At 43.8% G+C, this 24,295-nt stretch overlaps 1 protein-coding gene across 22 annotated transcripts in view, besides 1 other annotated feature; it reads left to right on the top strand.

Annotated features, from left to right (window-relative positions):
- Positions 1–24,295, top strand: part of LARGE1 (LARGE xylosyl- and glucuronyltransferase 1) — an 856,162-nt gene that overhangs the window by 97,126 nt on the left and 734,741 nt on the right. The window lies entirely within an intron of this gene.
- Positions 5,690–5,759: a silencer, noted in NCBI's record as "silent region_13646". NCBI's record gives its function as "represses an Ori minimal core promoter by ATAC-STARR-seq in GM12878 lymphoblastoid cells {active_cell/tissue: GM12878}" and the evidence as "EXISTENCE:reporter gene assay evidence [ECO:0000049][PMID:35858748]".

Raw genomic sequence — 24,295 nt, 5'->3', positions numbered from 1 at the left:
GTGTAATCGCCAGTGTCATGGGAGGGACACAGTGGGAGGTAATTGAATCAAGGGAGCAGTTACCCGTATGCTGTTGTCCTTGTGTTAGTGGTGACAGTGAGTGAGTTCTCACGAGATCTGATAGTTTTAGAAGGGGCTTTCCCTCCTTTTGGTCAGCGTTTCTCCTTGCTGCCACCATGTGAAGAAGGACATGTTTGCTTCCCCTTCCATCATGATCGTAAGTTTCCTGAGGCCTCCCCAGCCACCCTGAACTATGAGTCAATTAAACCTCTTTCCTTTATAATTACCCAGTCTCGGGTATGTCTTTATTAGCAATTACCCAGTCTCGGGTATGTCTTTTATTATAATTTATAAATTACCCAGTCTCGGGTATGTCTTTATTAGCAGTGTGAGAACAGACTAATACCCCATCCCATATTTGGGGACTGGATAAATATCCGTATTCTGAAATGAACAAACTGTTCTCTGGAACATTCCTTTACAAAGGATTTCCTTCATAATGCAAAGTCATTTGGGGCTCCTCCATAGTGCTTTGTAGTAGAAGCCAGCATTCTCTGCAGAGCAAACTGGGGGAATTGTCTGAGAAGCTCAGTCTTTAAGTTGCTCATCGACTGATCAACTGCTGGAATGACAAATCATAGCATTTTAAGACTGGTCCCTGGAGATGACCAAATTCACTTCCCTCATCTTGCAAATAAGAAAACAAAGACCCAAAGTGTTCCTGGGATGAGCTGTAGTAGAACATAGCATTATACTTGGCCCTTGCTGACCACCTGTGTCTGTCCCTTCTTCCCCAAAACTGTGCAAAAATATGTTGCTGGACAATAGCTGTTATTATATTCAGTGTTATAAACTGACATTTATTGAAGCCATATCGTGTACCAGTACTTCTCTTGACACTTTTCTTGTATTAAGTCATTTCATTTTCATTATAGTCCTATGAGTTACATGCTACTATTATTAGAAAATGTTTGGACTTTATAATTGGTCATATTTTTAAATTCTGGAGTCACCATTTTGTGGTTAAATATAAACCTCGTGTGTAGAGTGGGGGTCATGTGGTTCCAGCACAGGTCCTCAATGAATGTCTACAGGTGAAAGGAATAACATGAATGAGTGTGTAAGTGATATGGTTTGGCTCTGTGTCCCCACCCAAATCTCTTGTCAAATTGTAATCCCCATGTGTTGGAGGAGGGGCTTGGAGGGAGGTGATTGAATCATGGGGGTGGACTTCCCCCTTGCTGTTCTCGTGATAATGAATGAGTTCTCACAAGATCTGATTGTTTAAAAGTGTATAGCATTTCCCCTTTTGCTCTCTCTTTCTCCTTCCACCATGTGAAGGCATGCTTGCTTCCCCTTTGCCTTCTGCCATGATTGTAAGTTTCCTGAGGCTTCCCAGCCATGCTTCCTGTACAGCTTGCAGAACTGAGAGTCAGTTAAACCTCTTCTGCTTATAAATTACCCAGTCTCAGGTAGTTCTTAATAGCAGTGTGAGACTGGACTAATATAGTAAATCATGGACTTGGGGAAATACATATAATGAAGAAATGTTGGTCAATAAAATGTTAGCAAAACTCAATCGGGCATGTGGCATCAACCTTTTGGGTCTATCATTTTCTCATCTGTAAAATGAGGATAATGATATCAGCCTTAAAGGATTGTTCTAAGGATGTGATGGGATAATAATATAAGTACTTACCATGATGGCTTGAAGTTACTGAGCACTCAGCTAATGGCAATAATTACTATTAACTGGTAGACACTTAACAGGGCAAATGAGGAATGAACCATCACTGGGCTGTGGGGTGGTGCTCTCGGGTAACTGTGAAGCCCTGTATCGAGACGTGCCCTTTAAACAGGACAGCATGGAGGAATGAACTGCAGATGACTCAGTTCGAACAAAGATATCCTGACCCCAAAGGGCAGCAGAAAGAGCTCTCTCCATAAATGGGCCTAGCTGGAAAATTCCTCACTATCTATGGGGAAGGCACAATGGGCAGGAGAAGTCATTGGCTGTGTGCAGATGCATCTGTCTACAGTCACACTGTGTATAGGGATGAGTCATTGCTGTGTCCTCAGATGCGGAGGGCAAGGACAGGGACAAATCATGTCGTCGGACCTATCTGAGGGGTGCGTGAGGCTGTGTTCTGGAAGTGTGGCTGGACCTCATTTCCTTTTCCAGTTACAAGTTCCATGTAAACTTAGATAAGCTATTGTAATTATTTTTTACTTCCTGATAGATAGCAAGATGGTTAACTGAGATGAATATTTATTGACCTCTACTCTGTACCAGGCACTGTATCAGATTCTGGGAAGACAGGATGAAAACATAAGGCTTCTGTCCTTGGGCAGCTTATTACACAGGCAAGGAAGCCAGCATTAACAGGTGTACCATGATGCTGTGAAAGCATTTATACATGTGTACATACACACACACAGACACACAGCCTTTGGGCAGCCAAGGTATGTGCTATGGTCTGTGTTGAAGCTCATGAATTTTTCTCATGGGAAGACCTCTAGACTGTTGAGTCATGACTTGTTATTCTTTTTTAATACATCATTTATATTTGTCAGGATGGATTAGGTTGTGCTATTTATATGGACAACCCCGATATCTCTGTGTGGTTGAAATAACAAAGATTTATTTCTTGTGCAACACATTCATCTGTGGTAGGTGTATAGGTGGGGTGTTTTATTCTTCCCCAGGTAACTTATACCCTGGGATGCTGGTGTTTCCACTAGCTGGAGTGTCATAGATCACTGTGGCCAGAGGAAATTGGAACTTGGGGGATCATGTTCTACTTCTGGCTTTTGCTTACAGTTCATTGGCCAAAGCAAGTTACATGGCCACTGCTCACTTCCAGGCGCTGAGGAAGATCATTCCTACGTGTGACTGGAAGGATAGAAACCAGAGGATTTCTGATAGCCTTAACGACTTCCCCTTTGTTCTGACCAGCTTTTTACATTTACATTTCTTTCTTTTAATTCATATTACTTTTTTGAGATGGAGCCTTATTCTGTCACCCAGGCTGGAATGCAGTGGCGTGATCTCGGCTCACTGCAACCTCCGCCTCCTGGGCTCAAGTCATTCTCTTGCCTCAGCCTCCCGAGTAGCTGGGATTACAGACGTCTGCCACCACCCCGGCTAATGGTTGTATTTTTAGTAGAGATGGGGCTTCACCATGTTGGCCAGGCTGGTCTCGAACTCCTGACCTCAGGTTATCTTCCTGCCTCAGCTTCCCAAAGTACTGGGATTACAGGTATGAGCCACTGCACTTTGCATTTCTAAGCTCTTACTGTGCCTGGGCTACATTTGCATTTCTAAGCTATGGGAGATCAGCACAACAGTGCATTTGAAAGGGGAACTTCAGATGCCGGCCAGAAACCTGAGCAAGAAGTGACAATCTGACCTCTAAGAGAAGTATAGGAAAGCCCTGCCTACCAGCTATAAGAACTCAAACTGGGGCAGAATGGAACCATGGCATAGGGTAGGGCTGATTGTCCAGACATGTTTGTAGCTCCCAAGGGCACACATAGTGCTGTTGGCAGCTTAGTGAGATTTAATGCTACATAGTGCCTATACCAGGCATCAGGCCAAGGTTGGGAATACATAATTAACCGGGATCATTAAGAAAAATTTAGAATATATTTATTATAGATTACAAGATCAGGGAAGTATCTTTTCACTTAGTTAAAACTAAATATACCCGCAATAGAAACAGCTCTTTAAAAAAAAAAAAAAAAAACCTAAAAAAGTCACTTAAACGGAACCTGAGTGATTGGGACATCACTGTTTATAGTTTTCCATTTCCTTCACATGAAGTTTTTAATGCACTTGGGCAGGCTTTTCAGTCTAATTCCTCTGTTCCTATTTTTTTCTTATCCATCATAATGATTGTTGAAGATTTCCAATAATGTATTGAAAATTGAACTCCTTTGATAGCATATACACACATGTATGTATACATGCACACACCTTTCTGCTGGGAAAAATATGGACTTCAGTGGTCAAAGGGAGTCATTGATTGGGGCTAAGGAGGGTACAAGTCATCATTGGAGCAGACTTGCCTGTTACCTCCACTCTGTTCCCCTTCTCGGCATGCTCTTAGACGCTCTTTACGCAGGCTGGTGGAGAGAAATCTTTCTAAATACCTTTGGCTCACTTTCTTGGACATCCTTACCATCTCATTAGTCAGACAAACATTTGTCAGACGTGGTTTATATCTGTAAGGCATGGTGGGGAAAGAATGAGAAGTGTAAGTCATGGCCTCTGCACTCTAGGAGTTTATCATTTCAGGATGGGGAGGTAAACTAGTGTTTGCTTGCTGTGTGTCAGGCACTGTTCCAAGCTTTTTTTTTGGCTGCACCATCTCCTTTGACCCTACAGTAGCCCTCAGTAGCTGCCATTTTTTTCTAACTTCGTAACGATGAAGACATCGAGACTTGGAGAAGATAACCAACATCGTCTGTGCTTAGGAAGTGACAGCATTTGTGGGTGAAGCTGGGATTCTCCTAATGCCCTCTCTGCCTTTGTCACAACATCTGCCAGCCATGAAGCAATTAGAGATTCTTAAACTGGAGGAGAATCTTGGGAGGACAGAGATATTTGTTTGTTCTCTTCACCACTGTATCCCTGGTGACTAAAGAGAAGTCTGCAATAGATACGGTGGTGATTAAGGAAGATTCCTGCCCTCAAGGAGCTTGCAGTCCAGGGTTGTGAAACTGACGAGTAAATGTATTGTGTTGGTGCAGGGTGTCAGCTACCCTGGAACAGAGAGCCATGTGGGAGGCAGAAGAGGGGGTGGTGCACTTAGCCCAGGAGGAGCCTCTGGAGGTTGGTTAGACAGCATGTGTCTCCTGAGCAGCAGCAGGGACAAGGACTAGAAGAAAAGGGCAAGTGTGGATATAGCAAGCCTGGTTCAGGTGCCACGATGAATGAGAAGGTGGTGAATCAAATGGTAGCATTGGGGTAGAGAGGAAGTATAGGGCCTGGCAATATAATTGCTGTGTGATTAATATTTTTCTTCTTTATTTTATCCTATAGTATTTAGCTCCAACACTTTAAAATGAGAGGCTGTGGATGGTGGCTCAAGCCTATAATCCTAGCACTTCGGGAGGCTGAGGCGGGAGGATTGCTTGAGGCCAGAAGTTCTAGACCACTTTGGGCAGCACCACGAGACCCCCATCTCATCTCTACTTAAAATAAAAAATTAGCCGGGCATGGTGGCATGCGCTTGTAGTCCCAGGTACTCAGGAGGCTAAGGTGGGAGGATCTGTTGAGCCCCCGAGTTTGAGGCTATAGCGAGCTAGGATTGTGCCACTACCCTCCAGCCTGGGTGACAAAGTGAGACCCTGTCTCTAAAAAAATTAATAAACATAAAATGAGAATAGAAGTTATGGCAATATGCTATGGGAGAAAATAAAGGGAAGAAAAATTAAAAACATCTATTGTCAGGCCTTATGTCAGATCTTATATGGGGGGTTTTGCAAATTTTCATTATTTAATCAGCATAACTATTCCTTTAGGCAGGAAGAATGGTACATTAGTTAAAGCAGGCTGAATGGACCCCCAAATTCATAATGACCCGGGATGTTTATTTTGCACTCACAGAATGAGTAACTATGTGGGGTGAGTGAAAGCAGGGGAGGTGTCTCTGCTCCACACAGTGACCCTGGCCTAAGGAAACACCCTGGACCATCCACATGCAAGCTCTAGACACTGATGTCCAGCCAGCAGAGGGCATTACCTGCGGGTAGGGCCCACATCACGCTGCACATGTCCTACTGGCTAGGACTTGGTCACATGGTCACACCTCACTGTATAGAGGCTAGGAAGTGTCTCATCCTGTGCCCAGGCTTTGGTGAACAGCTAGCTGTCCACAAATGGCCCAGAGTATAGGAGAAGAAACTGAGTTTCTTAGAAACACACAAATTTCCTTAGGGTTACAGAGATTTTTTATGGAGTAGGCAAGGTTCAGATTCAGGGCAGTCTTTCACCCCATGGGAAAGTGGAAAGGGTGGTTGAGGAGGTGGGGATTAAATGAGGTGGATTTAGTGGGATTAGGTAATTAATAAAGGTAACTTAATTATTTGAAGTCAAGGCAGTTGACTTCAACCCTTAGATGATGTCAAGGGCTGGAGCTGGTGCTAAGGAGGCTCGGTGGGGAGGTTTGTTGGTATCAGGGAAATTAAGGATTTGGTGAAACAGCCTGTGGATGGATAGCCACAGGCCTGCTGGAGTTGCCCTGGATGGTGACGTAGTTGGCAAGGGGAGAAAAACCTGAGATTGTTAGAGGACAGCAGAGGGATAGAGCTTGTGACCAGAAGGTCTGAACTTTAAAAATGTCATCCAGAGCATTCATATGTGTGGAATAGCTCATTTTTCAGCTCTGCCATGAACTTTGTAGAATATTAGCGCAATGAAGAGCTTTGTACTCACACACCACTGGGAGAAGACATAATGAGATATGATGATGGGACTGACAAAAGTTGGCTGTTGTGATCCATACTTTTGGATCCCAAAGCCCCCAGGAGCCCGTGTGAACTCTGAAGTGGTTTGACATCTGGGACTGGGCTGCTGGTGACGTCACTCCATCCAGTCCTCCTCAAACTGGTGGCCTTTGAAGTTGTTTTTGAGCATGATGATAAATCAGCCATCAGTTGGTATTTATTGAGCACATACCATGTGCCCAAGTAATTAGGCACCCGTTTCTGGGATGGTGCTGGGAAATAGGAATGCGGTGTAGCCTGCAGCCCTAATCAGAATCTAGTTGTGGAGAGACTAATAGAACTTTCAGCCCACCCAAGGGAGACCACAGTGTACAGACTTCCTGAAGGTGGGGGAAGTCCTGGACTCTTGCCCTGCTGAGTTCTTACCCTGCCAATTTGCCTCGAAAAAGCCACTGGGCTCCCTGGTCCTTGGGTGTCTAAAGTGTTTAACAACCAACAAAAATCACAGGCAAATCTGCTTTGTTTTCATTGTTCGGTAGGTATTTGCTGTGTATCATTTCTTCTGGTCCATGAAGCACAGCAGGGCAGGATACAGAGAGGCTGCCCTCAAGAAGCAGAAGGAACAATTTTAATTTATTCAGGAGGGAAAAGTTAGGCTTTTACAGGCTATCAACAAATACTGATTGGGAACCTCCCTTTTTCTAGGGCTCTTCTCAGGGCCACAGTCCCCCTTCTTTCTCTCAGGTCAGTTACAAGCTGGTGCAGCTGCTGAATGAACTTCCTCCCCTCCTCTTTTCTCCCTCTTATTCTTCCTTCCTTCCCCTGTCCTATATTTATTCAGAAAATATTCATTGAACACCTACAATTTATCAGGCTCTGGAAAGACATCCCTGAGTGAGTTGATAGGGTTCCTGTCCTTGTAGAGTGTATGTTCTCCTTGCAGCGACAGACTACAAACAAACTATAAGCAAATACGATGATTTCGGATTTTAACCCATGCCCTGAATCAACTGAAGACAGCAGGGTTTGGTAAGTGACTTGAGGGGGCACAGCTGGATGGGAAGGTGTGAGTCTCAAGAAGCCCTATGAGAAGGAGCTACCATGTGGCTGGAGGACCAGTGCCTAATCCAAGGGTGGAGACATGAACCATCCCCATTTTTACAGGAGAGAAACTAAAGCATAGAACCTGTCCAAGGTTAAATTAGTTGTGGATCTGGGGTCTGAACCTAGGTCATCTGCCTGTAAAGGCCCTTCCTCCACAGTGTGAAGCTGCCTGCACCACCATGCTACCCTGTTCTTCCTTCCTCTCCTCCCCCTTTCCTCCCTCTCCTCCCCCTTTCCTCCCTCCTTCAGCTTCTCCATCTATCATGAGTGGATAATGATTTTGTCCTACCTTACCGCTGACCCCCTTGATAATATTGACCTAGCGGGGAAGTTGTAAGGCATAACTAATAAAAATGACAATGAAGCATTTGCCAACAGAAGGTGTACTACTGAATGCTAATATCGGTGAGAGCCTGTCTGTGATGCTAGGGCAGATTTATTAGACAGCTGTTTAGCCAGCATGAGTTTCCCTGCCCCCAACTTCACCAGGCAGCTGAGTCCAGTTCGAGCAGCTCTGTGCTCTAGACTTTTGCTGTTACCTCTCTGTGGTCCCTTCTTATCTGGATGTGCAACAACCCAAACACTCTTTTCTGCAGTGGATTGGGCTTGGCTGTCAGGAGAACAATGGATAGCGTGCTGGGTATGCAGCCATGAAGGTTGTGGGGTCTGCCCCACGGGTCCCCTGCGAAAGAGAGAGAGAGAGAAACACAAACGAGTGATCTGTCTATGGCTGTAAAATGGGGTGGCAGTACTGACTCCCTCATAGAGCTATTTCAAGCATTAAATGAATTTATATATATGCAAAGGGCTTAGAAAGTATCTAATAGACAAGTGCTTTAAATACCTCTAAGTGGAGGTGTCAGTACCTGCAAGTCTACTGATATTTGACTTTGAAAATGTGTGCCTTCAAAGGGGCTAGATGGGAGACAAGGCTGTTGGCAAGCACCAGGTTGTGAAGAAACTTGTGTGCCTGGCAGAGGCGAACCATAGGGAAACTGCCGAGCCTCCAGTGTATATATTTGATTGTATGTATATGTGTATGCATGTATGTATGTCTATATACGTATACACATGTGTGTATGTATAGAAACACATATATACACATATAAATGTATATGTGTGTGTTTGTATATACATGCACCCCTCCACCCCGACTTCCCAGGGTCTTAGCTGTAGGGGCAGATTGTGGTGGGTGAGGTCAGGTTGAGGAGAATGACTTGAGTGAGAGAGGCACTTAGAGGAGGTTGGCAGTGCGTTAGACTCACTTTTCCTGGAGAGCATCCTGGAATTTGAAATGATTGAGAATGAACACTGCGTTGTGAAAAGGATATTAATTTTGGTGGCCAGATATGCCTGAATTTGAATCTTGGCCCCAAAAACATTGTCTGTCTGTATCTGTCTTTCTGTATCTGTCTGTCTGTCTGTCTGTCTGTCTGTCTGTCTGTCTGTCTGTCTATCTATCTATCTATCCATCCATCCGTGCATCCGTCTGTCTGTATGTCCACCCGCCCTCCCGCCTGCCTGCCTGCTATGGTCTGAATGTTTACACCCCCTCAGAATTTGTATGCTGAAATCTAACCTGCTGTGTGAGGGTATTAGGAGCTGGGCCTTTGAGCAGTGAGGTCTTGAGGGTGGAGCCTACATGAGTGGGATTAGTGCCCTTAAAAATAGACACAAGGGAGCCTTTCACCATGTGAGGACGTAGCAAGAAGACGGCCATCTGTGAACAGAAAGCAGACTCTCACCAGACACTGAATCTGCTGTTGTCTTGACCTTGGACTTCCCAGCCTCTAGAACTATAAGAAATAAATGCCTGTTGTTTATAAGCTACCTAGTCGGTGGCATTTTGTTTTAACAACTTGAACAAATTAAGAGTCTGCCTACCTACCTGGAAGCCAGACTGCTTATGGAGGATGAAACCAAGCATGAAAATCCAGATGCTGTCCTGCCCTGTTCATGGATGAATTTTTGCTCTTCATTTCTTCGCCCGCAGCCCACAGAGGTTGCTCGCTGAGTCAGGCCTGGAGTTCCCATCACTCTTAGACCTTTTTTATTTGTAAAAACAGTGTGGGCATCAGAACACCAGGCCATGTCTTTGTTTGCTTATTTAATGACAACATTGAATGCGAAAGAGGAAAAGTTTGGAGATAATTGGACTCAGGAGGGTTGCCTGTGTTTTTGGAGGTGATGAACAGTTGATAGTCTCATAAGTAGTACTTATGATGATCTGCAAATGGTTCAGCAGCTGAATCTCTTACTTCCACGGCACCTCTCCTCGTGATTTTACTCTCCCCACAAACCCTTTCTGGTTCTCTGCAGATGCATGAGACTGCACACTCACAGGGCTCTGCTGAGCCGTCTGCATGGATGTGAATACATACATGCCTTCCGGTGTGGTTCACAGAAAGACAGAGTTCAGATCCTTGCTACAATTCTCTGCTGAGAACTCATGGCCAGGCAGTCTCTTCCCTGAAGTGGCAAGCCCAGGTGTGTGAGTCCCTGGGCTGGGTTGATAGACAGATGTTTGCACTTTGCACACTATCAGATTACTAAGAATGGTTCTTGGCTGAAGAGTCCTTTCTGGTTGTAGAAGCCACCATCAAAAGCCAGTCCCTCAACCACTTATTTTAAAACAGATGAAGGCAACCCAGTGCTTTTTCTCTGATGGCACATTCTCCCCGCATGAGGAAAGGAACATAATTGGAAAATGGGCAATATTCACAGAACAATTACTGTGCCTCTTAATGAGGTTTGCATGAAGGCTTCCAGTGAATTAATGAAGAGCAATGATTTTGCCATTCACGTTGAACAGCTGGACAACAATGATAAGGGTGCAGACTGTGAGGTCTCTGGCTTAGACGAGGTGATGAGGACCGGAGGAAGTTCTAGCTTCTGCCCTTCTTCAGTTCTCCTTTGGTCTCACTACTGTCCTGGGAGAAACTGAACGTGCTAGGCTGCCAGACTGTGCCGCCCCAACAAAAAGTGAGAAGAACCAGTTTGGCTGGGCTGTGGGCTTGCATCTTCCTTGGACTGTTTTTCTAGATATATTCAGTGGCAGATCATTAAATCTCCTCCTTTACTGGGCTATTCTTATTAGGAATTATGGTGACTTTTGGAGGGCAGTGTGTCTTGCGGAAAGCAGCATACCATGTTGAGTTGAAGATATGAGTCTAAATTATGGCCTTGTCGTTTAATGTCTGTGTGTTCCTTGCACATGTTGTTTCGCTGCAGGCAGGGAGCTGCAGTTTCTTCACTTGAACAAAAGGCGATCATACTTACATAGGTGACCTGTTGTGAGTATCAAATAGCCTGTATGAAATTACATTATGCATATGTTAGTATCAGTCAGGGTTCTCCAGAGAAATGACCCAATAGGATGGTGTAGTTGTATAAACACACACACACACACACACACACACATATACCTTGATTTTAAGGAATTAGCTTATGTGATCGTAGGGCTAAGTCCAAAGTTGTGGGTAGGTTACACTGGCAGGCTGGACTCTTGGGCAGAAAATGAAGCTGTGGTCCTGAGGCAGAGGCAGAATTTCTCTTCCAGGAAAACTCAGTTTTTCCTCTTAAGGCCTTCAGCTGATTAGATGAGGCCCATCAATACAATTGAGGATAGACTCTTTTACTTAAAGTCAACTGATTGTAGATATTAACCACATCTACAAAATAACTACCAGAGCACCTGGACAGTGTTTGATTAAGTAACTGGGGACCATAGCCTAGCCAAGTTGAAACATAAAACTAACCATCACAGTCATTATTATTGTTACTGATATGTCAGGAACCAAAGTATTTGACCCTGTTGGGCCCTATTGGGGACTGTTGGAAAAGCATCATTTGCTTGCCTGACATGTGCTCAGTGTCTTAGCTTTAGGGATAGATTTTCAGGGGCGAGGTCAGGTTGAAGAGAATGATTTGAGTGATAGAGGCACTTAGAAGAGGTTGACAGTCCATCTGACTAGCCTTTCTTGGAGAGCATTCTGGAATTTGAAATGGTCGAACAAGAGTGAATACTATGTCATGGAAAGGATATTAATTTTGGAGACGAGATATGATTTACACTCTTGGCCTCAGCATGTCTTTCTTCCCCCATCGAGATACGTAAGTTAACTTCAGTGATGCTTTTTAAAGTTTTTTCTCTAAACAGGAAAAATTAATATTTACGTTTTAGGCTTGTTGCAAGAGTGTGGAGTATCTCTGGCATGATTTAAACACTCAGTAAATAATTGTTTCCCTCCTTGCATGTTTGTTCAGTGTTCATTGAGTTGTTCTAATGTGACGTTTGTTCTTATGTGGAGATTTTCCTATAAGGTATTTAAGGCTGAAGTTGGGAGCATCGTAGAATGCAAGAGTTTGGGAAAAACTGGAGATACCAGTCAAGATGGAGAAAAGGATGGAGTTCAAGGGTACCTGGGCTTCCTGTCTTCACTGTGAAGATGGATTTCACCATGAGATCTTTACTAGGCAGAAAAGATGGAACATCCTGCAGTAGTGTTTTGTCATCGAGCCCACAGCCGAGGCCGAACAGAAGCTGTATGTTGTTCCTCAATGGTTGTGTCCAAATGGGAATGAGTAAGACTTCAACATTTCTGAAGATGGATGGTCACCATTCTCAATTCTGTTTTATGTATCTGGTGGGCCGTTGAGCAGAAGAGATCCCAGATGTCAGACACATCTGTCCTCCACCAAGATGTGTGTGTGGGACATTGCTGGAACTATGTTTTGTTTCTGGTCTTGTGGCATTTGACTATCGGAGATGAACAAAAGAGCATACAATCCTGATTTATTTCCACAAGCTTCTCAGGACTAGGGCTTGACAGTCTTGCCTGGGGAAGCTTGTTGATTCTTAGAGTGGCACTAATTTTTTTTTTTTTTTTTCTTGAGACGGAGTTTTGCTCTTGTTGCCCAGGCTGGAGTGATGGCACGATCTTGTATCTTTACTAGAGACGGGATTTTGCCATGTTGGCCAGGCTAGTCTCGAGCTCCTGACCTCAGATGATCCACCTGCCTTGACCTCCCAAAGGAGTTGGGATTACAGGGGTGAGCCACTGCGCCCGGCCTAGAGTGGCACTTCTTAATGCAGTAGATGTACTTCATACCACCATTTAAACCAATACTAAGAGAATAGTCTGTATTCATATGCCAATTTGGTACCACCTAATAGGAGAAAACCAGAAAGCAAACAGTGCTAGTTGCATTAATTATCTCTGTTTTATTTGTCTTTTAATATCTTTGTCTCCTTGAGGAGGCTATGGACTTCTTGAAGGACAGACAGTTTTCATCTCTGTGCTTCATTGTCTAGCACAGGGCCTGGCGTGTTGTCAGGGCATAGTACCTGTGTGTTGAATGAGCAAATAAACTGTGAAGAAACTTCTTGATCTTTGTTGGCCTGGACAGCTGTTGAGGCTTGACTGTGCTTATGGAATGAAATATCCACACAAAGGGAAACTTGGTAATAGCCCAGAACCCCAAGGGGATCATTGCAGAGGGACTGATAGATGGACAGGATGGCCTGGTGAGGCCTGCGCCATCTGTGCCTTCAACCCGGCGGATCAAAGATGAATGTGTGATTGAGTGAGGCCTCACTGATGACAATGCACCCTGGCTGGAAAATGCACAGCAGGAGGCTCTGGTTTGAATCTCAGTTTTCCTAGGAGACCTGAATGAAGAGAAAAGGCACCGCAGTATGCAAAGAGAGAGTCATCACTTGTGCATGTGTCTGGGGGAAGTAACGAATAGAAGACATTACATGTCAAAAAGAGCCTCGTCCAAAATGAAGCCAAGTGACTGTCACAAGTTCTGGGCAGGTGAGATGCTGTGTCAGAACCGTGAGAAGGCAGGGGAGGCCAGGCACAATTCCCAATATGTTTTAGAGCATACCTGGAGCTTAGCATAGCCCTAACTTCATGGTCCAGCCCTTTGGGGCATGTGCTCCTGGAACCTTAGCTATTAAGTGCCCTTGAGTGGGAAAATAAATGAGTTTTTAATGTCTGTGTGTACATGTTGTTAATCGTTTTCTGCATTTGCCACCTGGGTTGAACCTGTCAAATTAGTTTCCAGTAGTCCCTTTTAATGCATTGTTATATACCCAAGGTGGAAATCTCAGTCATCCTTAGAGACTTTCTGTAGCCAATTTCCCCTTTCCTTGTTCCTCTCTTACTTAGGTCATGCAATTGAGCGCTAAGCCCGGGTCAGCCCATTTCCTGTGTTCTGGTCTTTTTCTTTCCATTTGTCACAGTTCTGGGCTGGGCTCCCATTATCCCTGGCCTGAAGTATTTCACTAGCTGATGCTCCGGCCTCCTCCTTCCTGTGTCTCCTAATCCATCATTCTTATACTGCCAGAATGACTTTTCTAAGGCTCAGAGCAGCTCATGACATTCCCTGCTAGAGCCTCTTTGATTACTTCTTCTTGCCTCTAGAAAAAGTTTGAACAATTTACCGTGACGTAATAAAGCTGTTCCCAGTTGGGCTCTGGCCTTCTTTCCTGGTCTTGGGCCCCACCTCTATATACCAAATCATGATTTTACCACTTCCTAAATACAGCATGCTCTTCCACGTTGCGAATATTTGGGAAATCTTTTTTTCCTTGGAAAGCTGTTAACTTTTTCTCCCTGTCAGACTCCTAGTAATCCTTCAAGACTCAGGTTTTGTTGGTTGAACTGAAGCTCATGCAAATGATCACTTAAGAGGTGCTGAGATTGGCATACTTCTCCAGAGTGCCTGGCTTTAGTGTAGTGGAAATTCTCTTCAGCCACGAGCGTCCCACAAGGGAGCCTAGTTTGTTCATGTCTTTACTTGCTCTGCTAAATTATGTTTTATTAATGTGTGTGCTTGTACTGTTGCTCAGGCTACTGTGCTAATGACTGATAATTGCCTTAATGAGCTATTTGTAAGAAATACAGTAATACCAGTAGGGATGAAACCAGACCCCACCACAGCTGGTGGTCTAATAGCCTTTTGACTGACTTTATGGAGGAGCAGACTGCAGGGTTATTGCAGTTAACATAAGCAAGAGCTCAGAATCACCCACTTTTCCCTGAACACCCAATTTACCCATCTTCCACTCACGCATTAATCATGTTTATATGAGTCGGGGGCAGGTTAGGTTATGCTGCAGTAACAAATCTCGCATAGAACAAAAAAATCACTTTGGGAAGCCGAGGCGGGTAGATCACAAGGTCAGGAGATCGAGATCATCCTGGCCAACATGGTGAAACCCCGTCTGTACTAAAAATACAAAAATTAGCTAGGCACGGTGGCGCACACCTGTAGTCCCAGCTACTTGGGAGACTGAGGCAGGGAAATTGCTTGAACCCGGGAGGCGGAAGTTGCAGTGATCCAAGATCGCACCATTGCAGTCCAGCCTGGGCAACAGAGCAAGACTCCATCTCAAAAAAAAAAAAAAGAAATTCATCCCTCACCCTGTACTACAAGTCCATCACAGGCTACTCATGGCACTGCTGCATGCTGTCTTCACTCTGGGATCCTGATAGTGAGGCAGTCTCTATCAGTACTCTTGCTAGTCCTTAAGATAGAGAGAAAAGGGCGCATAATGGTTCTTAAAGCTTGCAGTGAGTTGCATGCATTCGTATTTCATTGGCCAGAGTAGGTCCCATGGCTGTTCTGGGGCAGAGAAGTTCTACCTTGATGTGCTCAGAGCTGAAGAGCTGATATTTGTGAACAATATGAGAACCACCACACCATGGTAGAATCTTGGATTCATGTGCCTTATGTAATTTGCTTCTGGGGAGTCAAGAGGGAGATTTTGTTGCCTTCAGCGGAGGTCCAGAGAGTACTGTGGGACCAAGAGTATCGGGCTATGGCTTTGGGTTCAGCCAGTCCTTGGTTCAGATCCTGACCAGCACTTGCTAGCTATATGATCTTGGTCAGTGTAAACTCTCTCAACCAATTTCTTTACCTGCAAACGTGAAAACAGCAATACCTATTTTATAGGATTGTTACATATTCCATGAGATAATGGGTTGAAAAGTTTTATAATTTTGTCATAATAAATGTTAGTTCTCTTCCCATCCCCCATGCTGTGTCTTGTTCAGAGTGAGAGATCTGGTGTCTGTTGCATGCAGACTACTGTAGTTTTTTTTCTGTGCTCTCCTGGGTGGTAGCAACACCCGCCTATAACTACAAGTGCTTGAAATGTGGCTAGTACCACTGAGGAACTGAACTGCAAATTGTAAAATCTTTATTACATCTAAAAAGTGAAGCAGTGTAAAGTTTTTTTGTTTTTTTTTTTAACACAAGCTTCTGGTTTTGGAGGTACTATTTCACTTCAGTCATTGAAAATTTAGCACCCCAATTGAGATGTACTTAAGTGTAAAATATGCATCTGATCTTGAATATTTAGTATGGAAAACTATAAAATATCTCATTGGTTATTTTTATATTGATGATATGTTGAAATAATATTTTCATACATTGGAGGAAATAAGGTATATTATTTAAATTAGTTTCACCTGTTAGCTCTTTTTAAAATGTGGCTGCTAGAAAATGAAAAACTATACATGTGGCTAACTAGCATTATATAATATTTCCATTGGAAAGTGCTGGTTTAGACATGCAGAATGTGAGGCCCACACCTCTCTGGAAATTCAGACTATTCATCCATCTGTCCTTGCATCTAATAATACATATTTATTGACAACTTCCTATGTGCTATGCACAGGTGTTGTGCTAAGCTTTTGGGAACCAGTGCTGGTCAAAACAGGCATATTCTCTGAGCTCACTGCTTATTGAGGGCATGGAACATATAGTTGTGTATGTTCATAAGTATAAATGGTAGCTCCATCTAGAAAAGTGCAGGAGGCTAGGGAAATACATCACACAGGACCTGATTTTTTTTTTTTTGAGATGGAGTCTCACTCTGTCACCAGGCTGGTGTGCAGTGGCGCAATCTCGGCTCACCGCAGCCTCTGCCTCCTGGGTTCAAGCAGTTCTCTTGCCTGAGCCTCCTGAGTAGCTGGGATTACAGGCACCCACTACCACGCCCAGCTAATTTTTGTACTTTTAGTAGAGATGGGGTTTCTCCATGTTGGCCAGGCTGGTCTTGAACTCCTGACCTCGGGTGATCCGCCCACCTTGGCCTCCCAAAGTGCTGGGATTACAGGTGTGAGCCACTGTGCCTGGCAGGACCTGAGCTTTTTAATACATGGGGTGGGTGGGCGGGGTTAGGGAAGGATGTACTGAGTTTCTGAATAAGGAGAGAAGAATGGATGAAGATGGGTCTGGGATTTGAGACCCACCAGACAGTGTTAAGAGCTTGTGCCCAGGTTCTGAGGCTGAGGGGGAAATAGGTTTAATGGTGCTACTGGGTCTGTCTTCAACTACTGCTTTGGAAGTTCACAAACAGTTCATGGGAAAATGCGAAGAGGATAGACTTTGCATGAAACACTGGTTCCTTTTGCTACATCCTCAAAGAAGTGCAACTCCAGTGTACTCGTCACTGTGAAATTGATCCGGCTCACATGTGGGGTGGTGAGCATTGTCAGGGCAGGGGAATACGGGGCTTTATTCTTCTTTACGATCCCAGCGTCGTGCAGGGTGCCTTGTGCTTTGTAAACATTCCATAAATACTGTTTGATTTCATTTGCATATTACTGGAGAAGACTTACTATCTGGATTTCCCCCAACCTATTTGTGCCAAGCACCTTGGTGGTAGGGGCAGGGAGGGGCTGCTTTTGTGTTCTTGCTGAGTCTCAGCACTCTGGCAAGGCTTCATCTTTCTTTTCTCCCCATAAGGAGTTGGATGAACATAACAAGAAGAGAACAGCCTAATTTAAAAAGTGGATCAAAGACTTTAACAGATACCTCCCCAAAGAAAATATGCAGATGGCAGATAAGCACATGAAAAGATGCTCCATGTCGTTTGTCATCAGGGAAATGCAAATAAAACAACAGTGACGTACTGCTACACACTTATTAGAATGGCCAAAACCTGGAACACTGGCACCACCAAATGCTGATGAGGATGTGGAGCAACAGGAACTCTCATTTGTTGCTGTCAGAATGCAAAATGGTATAGCCACTTTGGAAGACAGTTTGGCAATTTCATATGCAACTAAACATACTTTTACCATACAACCCAGAATCTCACAACTTGGTATTTACCCAAAGGAGCTGAAAACTTACGTCCACACAGAAACCTTCACATAGGTGTTTAAAGCAACTTTATTCATGATTGCCAAAACTTGGAAGCAGCTAAGGTGTCCTTAAGTAGGTGAATGGATAAATAAACCATAGCACATCCAGGCAATGGAATATTATTCAGCGCCGAAAAGAAATGAGCCATCAAGCCATGAAAAGACATGGAAGAAATTTAAATACATATGACTAAATGAAAGAAGCCAATTTGAAAAGGCTACTTACTGTTTTCCAACTGTGACATTCTAGAAAAGGCAAAACTCTGGAGATAGTAAAAAGATCAGTGGTTGCCAGGGGTTGGGAAGAGGAAAGGATGAATCAGCAGAGCTCAGACTATTTTTAGCGCAGTAAAACTACTCTGTATGATATGTGTAATTACATATTCCTCAAAACCAATAAGATATTTATCAAAAATGAACTGTCATGTAAACAGTGGACTTTAGGCGATAATGATGTATCAATGTAGGCTCACCAGTTGTAAGAAACTTACCACTCTGATGGGGTATGTTGAGATTGGGGGAAGCTGTGCATAGGTGGGAGCAGGAGGTATATGGGAAATCTCTCTATACCTTCCTATCTTGCTGTGATCCTAAAAAATAAAGTCTATTTTTAAAAAACTAAAGACCTGGTTACGAAAGTGAATGCTTATTGAACACCTACTACATGCTGGTTCCTAATAATTAATCGTGTAGATTAATTTATTTAATCCCAAACAGTCCTGTGAGGCGGGTAACATGACTGTCCTCCTGATTGTGCAGATAATGAAACTGAGCACAGAGAAGTTAAGAAATTAACTCAGGGTCACATAGCTTGGAGGTGGGAGAGCTGGGATTTGCATACAGACACACTGTCTCTAGGGCTTTGCTTTTAATGACTTGTTGCCTTACCTGCTGCAAACAAACTGCCTATCCAGCTGTCTTTGTGGAAGTTGCATGGTTTGAAATTGCAAGGAAGAGGATTTTTTTTTTTGAGACGGAGTCTCACTGTGTCGCCCGGCTGGAGTGCAATGGTGAGATCTCAGCTCGCTGCAACCTCCGCCTACCAGGTTCAAGCGATTCTCCTGCCTCAGCCTCCAGAGCAGCTGGGACTACAGGCACGTGACACCATGCCCAGCTAATTTTTGTATTTTTACTAGAGATGGGTTTTCACCTTGTTGGCCAGGATGGTCTCGATCTCTTGACCTCGTGATCCGCCTGCCTCGGCCTCCCAAAGCGCTGAGATTACAGGCATGAGCCATCACGCCCGGCCAAGGAAGAGGATTTGAAGTCAGCTCTGAGTCTTATTATCTTCCTCCGAGTAGCACAGCTGGCATCATTGCATCACTGAGAGCCTTCTAAGCCCTGGACACGGCTCTGGGTACCCAGATTCAAAGATGGATTAGCTCTTGCCCCGTTTTCAAGGAGCTTATAGTTGAGGAGATGTCACATTGCAGGTAATTTCAATGTAATGATACAGCCATGTTCTCAGAAAGTGTTCAAGGAACTGTTTGTCCTCTTGATGTATGTGATTATGTCAAGAGTTGTTCCTGCAGAAGATCCTGTAAACACTGGGGCTGGAAAATGTGCCAGGCTTATTGGTGAGACTCTAGGCTGCCCTGGAGGCCAGACTTTTGGACTGCAGCTTGCTCACGTGTGTCCCTAGCTCCATTTGCTTCAGCTACCCACTTCTGGTTTTGGTTTCGGTATCTGATGCTCCCAACACCTCACATGAAGCTTGCAAAACTGTTGCCATAAACTTAATTTCTAGCAAAGGGCAGAGAAAGAAGTCAGATACAAGAGATCACATATTGTTTGATCCCATTCATAAGATATATCCAGAGTGGGTAAATTTATGGAGACAGAACATATATTGGTTATTACCAGGGGCTGGGAGGGAGGGAGAAAGGGCAGAAGCTGCCTGATGGGTGTGGGGTTTTGTTTTGGAGTTCATGGAAAAGTTTTGGAATTAGATTGAGGTGGTGGTTGCACAGCATTGTGAATGCACTAAATAAATGCCTCTGGGTTGTTTAAAATAGCTCATTTTATTTTATGTGAATGTCAGCTTAATAAATTTCAAAAAATAATAATCATAAAATGTAGCAAGGGGAGAGGCATTAGACAAAGTTCATAGTGACAGTGAACATTGTTTGAATGGAAGAAAACAATTGGAAGAGAAGAAATAGGACATGTTAGGTATAATGATGGTTGTTATTTTATTTATTTATTTATTTATTTATTCATTTATTTACTTATTTATTTATTTTTTGAGACAGAGTCTTGCTCTGTCGCCCAGGCTGGAGTGCAGTGGTGTGATCTGGGCTCATGGCAACCTCTGCCTCCCGGGTTCAAGGAATTCTCCTGCCTCAGCCTCCCCAGTAGCTGGGATTACAGACACCTGCCATCATGCCCAGCTAATTTTTTGTATTTTTGCAGAGATAGGGTTTCACCATGTTGGCCAGGCTGGTCTCAAACTCCTGACCTCAGGTGATCCGCCCGCCTGAGTCTCCCAAAGTGCTGGGATTACAGGCGTGAGCCACCGTGCCCGACCAGGGTTGAGTCTTTACTCTGAATGAAGTTGGGAGCCATTGGAGTGGTTGGGGCAGAGGAAAGAGATTCCTTGGCTTGCTTTTCTAAAAGATCTCTTTGGTTACTGACTTGAGCAGAGCTTGCAGACAAGGATAGAGGAAGGGAGATCAGTTAGGAAACTAGGACAGTTGTTTCATTCAAGCAGGAGATGCTGGTGGCTTAGACCAAGTGTAGTGGCCAAAGTGTTGGGATATAGTCCAAATCCAGGTGTGTCTTTAAGGTATATTCAGCAGGATTTTCTGAGATATTGGATATGAGACTAACAGAGGAAGAAGAGTCAAGGGTGTGTCTAGTTTTTTATTTGAGCACCTAAAGGAACGAAGTTGGTGGAGTTCGGGAGCTGTCCATATATTCTAACTGGGAAGATTGCAAGAGAAACAAGCTTGGGAGAGAACATTAGGAGTTCAGTTTCAGTCTTATTGAATGAGTGGTGCTTTTTCGATATATCCAAGTGAATATATTGGGCCAGACAGTGGGATATGAGCCAGGAGTTCTGGAACAAGGTTAGGGTGGGAGATACAGATTGGAGGTTGCTGGCCTTTGCAGGCCATTGAAAGCCGTGAACCTGACTGGGATCAGCTAGAAAATGCATGATGGTAGAGAAGAGGAGGCTGAACTTGACTGCACTCTCTGCATGCTCTGGAAAAATAAAACCTGGGTTGCACTGGGGACATTGGGGGCTAGTTCAGTCATTTTTTAGAGCTGGGGTTTTGTTGTTGTTTTTGTTTAAGCCAGGCACTTTAGTCTTAACTTTCAGGGAAAATCAAAGTAGGTTGTTCAAGGTACCCAAAACACACAGATATGCAGCTGGCTTTCTGCAAAGTGTTCATGTGAAGAGGTGCCAGGTGTGTGCCTGGTAAGTGTGTGTTTTACTGAGCAGCAGGGAGCTGAACTGTGGATCTCTTGCAGCCTCCCTTTTGATATGTGCGTCTCAAGCAGTCAACCTGCAAATTGCTTTGTATTCAGAAGGTGCCAAATACATGTTCATGGAATGAATGGATAAATGGTCCTTGCCCTTTGTGCCTGAAGACCATGGTAGAAAGGTGCAGTTTATTATTTTATTGTTGACTTCTGGTTTGAACCAAAGAGGTTTTTGCATATACGTTGGCTATTAGAGATCAAGTCTGCGTTCAATGTTGGAGATTTATTATATTTTGGATAGATAGAGGGCTCTAAAGGCAATTCCCAGAGAAATCCAAAACTATTGTCAACAAAGGCAGCATTAGTGGAATCACTGACTAACTTCCCAAAAAGTTATGTTAAGCAGGCCTTTCTAAGGATGGCAGTCAGGATTGCTATGTTCTCTTCTGTATAGGGAGGAGAGTACAGGATGGCAGCCAGGATTGCTGTGTTAATTCTCTTCTGTATAAACAAGAGAGTACAGAAGACAGTTAACATAACAATCCTGACTGCCATCCTTCAACAGGCCTGCTTACGAGGTTGGCTTTGGCTGGCATCTGGGGACTTGGATTTTAGGAGGGTTCCCATCATTCTCAGACCCGATAAGACTGGGTCACTGTGCTTAAACTGTTGATGCAAACAATATAGTTTATTCTGAACATCTGTTTTCCTTCTGGGAGTCTACAATTTTGGATGCCTGCCTAACCAGTCCTGGGTGAAAACCCTAGGCACGGAACCTCTAATGAGCTTCCCTCGTAAACATGTTTTCACACGTGTGGTCACAGCTCATTGCTGGAGGAATTAAGTGTGTCCTGTGTGACTCTACTGGGAGAGAACTCTTGAAGCTTGAGCCTGGTTCCCTCCAGACTTTGCCTCATAGACCTTCTTCCTTTGCTGGTTCTACTCTATGTCCTTTTGCTGTGATGAGTCATAGCCATGAGATGCTGTAAGTCATAGCCACATCTACATGCTGAGTCTGGCGAGTCCTCCTAGTGAATTGTTGAACCTCACCTCCTCTGCATTTTTGGTTGTTGGTGTTGTTAAACAGCCAGTCATATCATCTTACGGAGCTATGAATTCCATTAGCATTTACTGGATTCCAGCTATGTACAACATACTTGTAAAACTCCAGTTTGCCTTAGAAACTGAGTCAAACCACCAAATGTGTCCAGGAGTAACTCGTTCCCAAGACATTTCCAGATATCAGGCAATATGGAAGCTACAGAGATGAAGTCTCTGAAGCTCAATTGAGATAGGAAATGTAAGTTGTATAGAAGTTGTATAGAAGCAGAACCCCTAGAACATTGAGGGAAATGAGTGCTCTACCAATTCCATAATGTAATAGTAGCTTTTATTAAGAGGAGGGTCATGAATGCTGTCTTGGGGGAGTTAGAGAAGTGACTTTAAGGCATTGGTGGACTTTGCTGGTGTTGAGAAAGAATATTTTGATCTTCCTTGGTATCCGTCGTCATCTTTTAGCTTTCATTTGTGTGTTGATCTATCCACCCATCTTCCTGTCCATCCAATTGTCTGTCTACCCACTCACCCACCCATCTATCTGTCCAGCCTTGCCAGGCAGCTTGTTACATTCATGAGCTTTGATTATGTGTTAGGCTGTGTTCAAGGCACTGAAGTACTGGGGTGAATTGAGTAGGGTCCCTGCCCTCTTGTGCAAAGGAAGGATTTGGTTGGGTGGGAGATGACTAATGAATCCGTACCCTGGTGGTATTGTTTAGGGAGAGGGAGATAGACCTGGGAATAAATATTTATTCCTAGATAGAAGTGCACAATTCTTTCTAGGGATACACAGGTACACATGCCCAATTCACCTTGGTGGGTTGAGTGGGGAGAGGGGCAGGGTGACAAATAAGAGTTACTTGTCACCTTACCTACTGTATATCTAAGCATATTGTCCATACAAAGAGATCAGTGCAGGAGATGTCCTGTGTCCCTGTCTTCATAACCAGAACGGGGAAGAAAACCTCCTCCTGTGAGTTCCCCGAAGGTTAATTTAAAATATTCTTTTCATTTGGCTTTAAGATTACTCAGAGCCATCTTTAATACACAATTAGGGACATAACCATTCCTAAAGGTAGGTGGCAGCTGCCTTCATTCACCTGCCAGTGATAATCAAAGGAAGACTCCCAGCCTGTCTAGTCTGGAACATTCAGCAGGGCCTAAGAGCTCTTCTCTAAGTGATGATGGGACTGAAGCCATCTCTGTAGTGCTTCCCTTGCTGTTCTGAGCCATTTGCAGTGGGAATAAGTGCTTATGGAGTCAGCAGCTGTGAGTTGGGGGAGGCAAATTATTACTTTTATTTTTGGCTCTGCCTGGGGTCAGAATTTCTTTTGTTTCTGATTTACCTTTTATTTGAGAAACTTGGCATGATACCTGTGTTCAGAGGATTCATTAGTCATCTCCCTCTCAACCAAATCATTCCTTTGCACATGTGATTGTTAACCCCTCTTTTTTTTTTTTCTCCAGAGTTAGTTATCAGGCATTTTTTCAGAGGACTTTCATAAGGTAGTCTGAACAAATGAAGATATTATTTTCATTAGTAAAAATAGTAACAGCAAACACTAGGGGTGTCAGACAGTGTTTTAAGTGCGTATATAGCTTTACTCTTTTGATACAACTTATGAAGTAGATGCCATAATTATCTTCCCTGTGTTACATATGAGGAAACTAGTCACTGGGGAAGCGGGGGGTATCAGGTAATTTGTCCAGGTACCTCTTCTGATCTTGGATTTTAAAAGGAGTTGGAACACCAAAAGCACAATTCGTAAAACAAAATGGATGAACTGGAATTAATCACAGTTTAAAATGTGGCTTTGTAGGAGAATCTGTTAAGAGGGTGAAAAGAGACGCCACTGACTGGGAGAAATGTGTGTAAATGACACATTTGACAGAGGACTCGTATCCTGAATATATAAAAATCTCTCCAGACTCAACATTAAAAACCAAACAATCCAATTAGAAAATGGGCAAAAGACTTAGACATGTCACCAAGGAAAATACACAGATGGGAAATAAGCGCATGAAAAGATGCTCAACAACATCAGGGAAATATAAATTAAGACCATAATTAGCTACCATTACACACCTATTAG

This window comes from Homo sapiens, chromosome 22, assembly GCF_000001405.40.
Source record: "Homo sapiens chromosome 22, GRCh38.p14 Primary Assembly".
Lineage (NCBI taxonomy): Eukaryota > Metazoa > Chordata > Mammalia > Primates > Hominidae > Homo > Homo sapiens.
The sequence above is the reverse complement of the archived record's forward strand: the minus strand, read 5'-3'. Positions and strand labels throughout refer to the sequence as shown.